General features: G+C 46.8%; 1 pseudogene, besides 1 other annotated feature; it reads right to left on the bottom strand.

Annotated features, from left to right (window-relative positions):
* Positions 855 to 2,054: an enhancer, noted in NCBI's record as "BRD4-independent group 4 enhancer chr5:7928453-7929652 (GRCh37/hg19 assembly coordinates)". NCBI's record gives its function as "activates an origin of replication core promoter dependent on BRD2, P300/CBP, MED14 and CDK7 cofactors, and independent of BRD4, by STARR-seq in HCT116 cells {active_cell/tissue: HCT116}" and the evidence as "EXISTENCE:reporter gene assay evidence [ECO:0000049][PMID:35650434]".
* Positions 2,791 to 3,378, bottom strand: LOC100422730 (semaphorin 5A pseudogene; annotated as a pseudogene).

The following is a 4,562-nucleotide window of genomic DNA, read 5'->3' as shown; positions in this document are numbered from 1 at the left end:
TCTTGTTCCTAAAGACTTTTTCAAATAAAAATAAGACTATTCCAAAAGTATAAGACTATTACTTAAGAAAAAAAAAAAAGCTCAAGAAAACAATCCACTTCTTAGAGGAAACTGGCGAAACACAATCATCAACTTCACGCTGTGACCTGCAGTGCTTCCCATGGCTCCCCCAGCTGTGCTCCTGTATTATAGACTGAATTGTCACTCGGCCATATGTAATTCTTGTTGCATTTAAAGGATGTGATTTTTGGCAAGGATGGGCACTCATGGCTTGAAGTGTGCTTGCAATATATCACTCTTCACCTCTGAAGCCTCGGAAACGTGGGGAGGCACTGAGCATATACTTAGGGCAATGGGAAATTATGAGAGATGAAAAATATAAAAGCTCTTGGAATTCACTGGAATTCATCAGAATGATCGAGACCCAGAAAGCAGACATTAGAAGAGGTGTTTCTGTGATGTGGCTTGAAGTATTTGCTTCTTTCCCCTAGAATCGTTTTATTATTAAACTCCAGGAAAAAAATGTTTAAAAAAATACTCAATAAGTAGACTTTGAGAGACTATTACATTACGACTCAACTTCTCTCCAAAAGTCCTGTGATGCTAAAATGTGCTTTTTCATGGTGTTTTACCACAGATTATTCACTTCAATAAGAACTTATCATCTAGTAACTGAATTGGCAAATATTTTTCTATGTCTTCCAGTCTATTTTTCTGCTTTTGCCACAATATTTTCAAGAGAAGCTAAGCATTATTTATTGTAACAGCAAACTCAAGAAACTCAGCAAATGCTTCATTTCCAATGAAGAGACACTTAGAATGTTACCAAGTATTACCCCGTGGAGTTCTGTAGACATATAAGTAGATTTCTGATTATCACAGAAAGGTACATTCATAAGAGTTCCTGAAAGACCTTCTTCAGCTAAATTCCTCATATTCCAAATGTCTGAATTACTATTCATTTGTTCCATGTGCAGTTTGTTTGAAAAGTGACTATTGTACCTATTTCTGGATATAATCTTCCTCATTCATGATGTTAAAGTAAGCTGAAATTTCAAATCGTTACACTCTCACAGGTGGAGGGTAAGTATTGGGATGACTGGAGAATGATGAAGACGGTTGGCATAGGCCAGCCATGTGATGGAGGGGTCTGAGAGATTTACGAATGATCAGGGGACAGGTCAGTGCCACTAGAGTCTGCTCACGTGGCAGCAAGACTTCTGATTAATTCAAAAGGCTCCACATCCCAAGAGAGAACTTAGCACCAGCTAAATGACCATCCAGATTCCTGGAGTGACCACCCAGCACTGATGTTGGAATCACATGTAGCCAAACCCATTTCTTTTGTCCTGGAAGTTCACTTGGAAAGTTCTCAAGACCTCTTTATACAGGAGAATGTGGGAGCTCCTTGTAAAACGAGTTGCTCTTTCTCCTCCTCACCTATGGGAGCCCAGTTCTGAGGGGCCGTGAGGGCTGTGTGAGTAATTCACGATGCTTCACTTCAGGACTTTCACCTGACTCATGTGAGGAGCTGATGGATTCTTGACCCCAGTTCAACCAGAGGCCCCGGGAGTACAGGCAAACTAGTAGGAAGAAACTTTAATTACAAAGGGAGATGACGTGGGTACAACAGAGGGGAAATCACAACACTCCCTAAGGATTTTAAGGGCAATCAACAAATGAATGAAAAAATCATGTTTGGTTTACCTAGTTCAGAAGAATTCCCTTCATCCACAGCTGTGAGAGGGGAGGTTGAACGCAGCCTTTCATGTCTCTTCAGGTTCCCTTGCAGCCTTGTGTGGAGGCACAAGTAAGACTACCAGCTACCCTTTGCTGAGCACGTTCACCCATTTAAACCCTACAGCAAGATGGAAATACACAGCCTTTCATCCGTGTGAAAGATGAAGACACTGAGACACAGGAGGCCAAGTACCTCACCTGGCGCCACTTTGGTAAGAAATGGCTGTAGGGCGTCCTGTTTCAAGCCTCCAGCTATAACCACCACATGAAATCCCTCAAACAAGACCCCAATTTCATGAGCACTTAAGTGTCATGCACTGTTGAAGGCGTTTTATAGAAATTACCTCATGAAATCCTCACAACACTGCTCTAAGTGAAGGTCGTTATCCCCAGCTTATAAAGAAATGGAGGCCTAGAGGGTGTGAGCGTCTGACCCGATTGAGGTCAGCTGAGTCCAAAGCTGATGTCCTTCGCAGCCCTTCTTCCTGCGGACTAGGAGGCTGGCCCTCCACACAAAATTTCTGCTTTAAAAACTAGGGATTTAATTGTCCAATGGGGGAAAAAATACAGAACACGCCACCTCACACCAGAAATGGGAAGCTGCCTTACAGTATGTGAGGCACTTTTATTGCCCTGGAAAGAGATCTGAAGGTGTAATTGATAGCGATACAATAGTTGTCTCAGGCTGCCATCTAGAGGCAGGTGCTGAAGCGACATCCTCCCCTCCATCCTGCCGCCTTTTCTCTGACCCTTGGGACACGGAAGCCACGGTTTGGGCTGAGGCAGAGCTGGACATTGGACAATTACCCAACATCGGGCAGATCTTTATTTCTTGCTTTTCCTTTGTTCCTTTATAATCTATGTGCCCAAGGTGACACGCCATGGTTTCACAGGCGCCCCAAAGCTAGAAAGGCAGTTTTTCATAAGGGGAACCCTTACCTGTCCCCAACTCCGCCACCAGCGCCACCCCCACGGAGCTTTGCTGAAAGTCCCCGCGTCCACCTGCCTTCTGTGCACACCTGGCTGCTGCTGATGCTGCCAACTCCTTATCTTGATGGCCTCCACCGAGTCGTACTTGTCCAGTTTGTTGGTGTGGTTGGTTATGCTGGTGTTGAGGGGGGTAGGCGAGACGGAGTGGACGACAGTCGCATTGTGGGATTGCTGTTGGTGCTGCTACTGTAGGTATAGACCAGCAGGCTGAGCCCCACGTGATCATGTGGAACACACTGAACCCTGGGGGGACAGGAGCAAAGTGGTACTGGCTCCCTTCCCCATCCCTTACTTCCCTTCCTGAACAATTCAGCCTTTGGGTGCAGAACAAGGCAGGCATGTGAGAAGGGCTGCCCTAGCTCAGGGGCCTCAGCTTGAGTAGCAGGGTGAGAAGCCTATCCACAGACAGGAGCAGCCCAGGGAGAGACGTGAAATGCTTGCTGGGCATCACTGCAATGGCAGGCAAGTCCACCTGGCTGCAAAGCAAAGCCTTCAGGGATCTCAGGACAAGGGGAAGGGCCTGTAGGATTTCCCCTGCACCCGAGGCCAGGGGTGTCTGCACATTAACCACTCCAGCCTCCTCCCCAGGGGTTTTCCAACCCACCTTCCCTGTGCTCGTGACCCCCGCCACCTGGAAGAGACTTTGTCCTGCCAGCGCCAGCCATGGGGTTTGATGTCAAAGGGTCACTCGGCCACTCTTCACTGAGTTCCCACCAGGCTTGGGTCTCCAGGGCTCTGCCTGAGTCCGTCCTGAACCTCATGTAACCCTGCAGTGGCCAAGAGGCCCCATGGGAAGCTGAGCCACAGGTCGGGAGATGCCATCAAGACCTCATCTGTGCTACTGGCAGAGGTTGACTATCCCTTTTTGTCCCTAAACCCTGAGCTTTTCCCTCTAAGTCATGCTCCTTGGCTGTTCTAGACACCATGTTCCAGGAACCCAGGACTTTGGAGCTGGATCTGCCCCCTTGGGTGCACAGACACTGTGAAGGGAGGCTGCCTTCTCTCTGACTCGCTGTCAGGCAGAACTCACAACACACTCCTGACCACTGAAGTCCCAGTGGGCAATGCAGTTCCCAGCACAGGCGCCCAATGTACTCAGCACTAAGGGTTGGATCATCCCAGACGACAGCACTAGAACATTCCACAAGCATCACCCACTCCCTGACAACCACCTCAACTTTTCACTTGCAGCTTAGTTGGTCAGTGGTTTCAGAATCTTTGGCCTTTTCTGACTCAGTCATGAAGCCTCTAGGGCTGGAGAACTCCCAACCTGGGACAACCGGATGAAGCATCCAGGGGGCATTCCACCAGCAGCCACTGGGACTTTAACTGTAACACTGAAGCTGTACTTAGATAAGCAAGAGCTGATTTCACACAAGTTCTTACTTCTCTGTACTTTAGCTGTTAGCACTCTCAGGGTCAATGCCTTGTACCGAAGGAAATACTTCCTGCTGCACTGATAACTCATGTTTCATTATAACATAGGGCAGATGCATGACGGTCTCCATATGCAGATACTGTGCCATTAGTCAAATGAATCATTCCAGCAGGTGCCTGGGAAAGGCTGGGACCAGCTGACATCTTTATGATGATTATATAGTCTTTGTGTCTCATGCAACTAAAAATAGCTCTCTAAGATGAAAAATTTGAATTGAAGCACATTTTCTGCATAGAGAAAAATAGTGCCCATTAAATCGTTTTTGAATCTGCTTGGTGTGGCGCTTTCTTTTCAACGTGGCTTTTTTTTTTTTTTTTTGCCATTATCGGCCAGTAAGCAGGGATGGAAACCATCCTGTTGGTTAAGCAAAGTCTGATTTTTCAATAAACAGAAG

This window comes from Homo sapiens, chromosome 5 (genome assembly GCF_000001405.40).
Source record: "Homo sapiens chromosome 5, GRCh38.p14 Primary Assembly".
In the NCBI taxonomy this organism is placed as follows: Eukaryota; Metazoa; Chordata; class Mammalia; order Primates; family Hominidae; genus Homo; species Homo sapiens.
The sequence above is the reverse complement of the archived record's forward strand: the minus strand, read 5'-3'. Positions and strand labels throughout refer to the sequence as shown.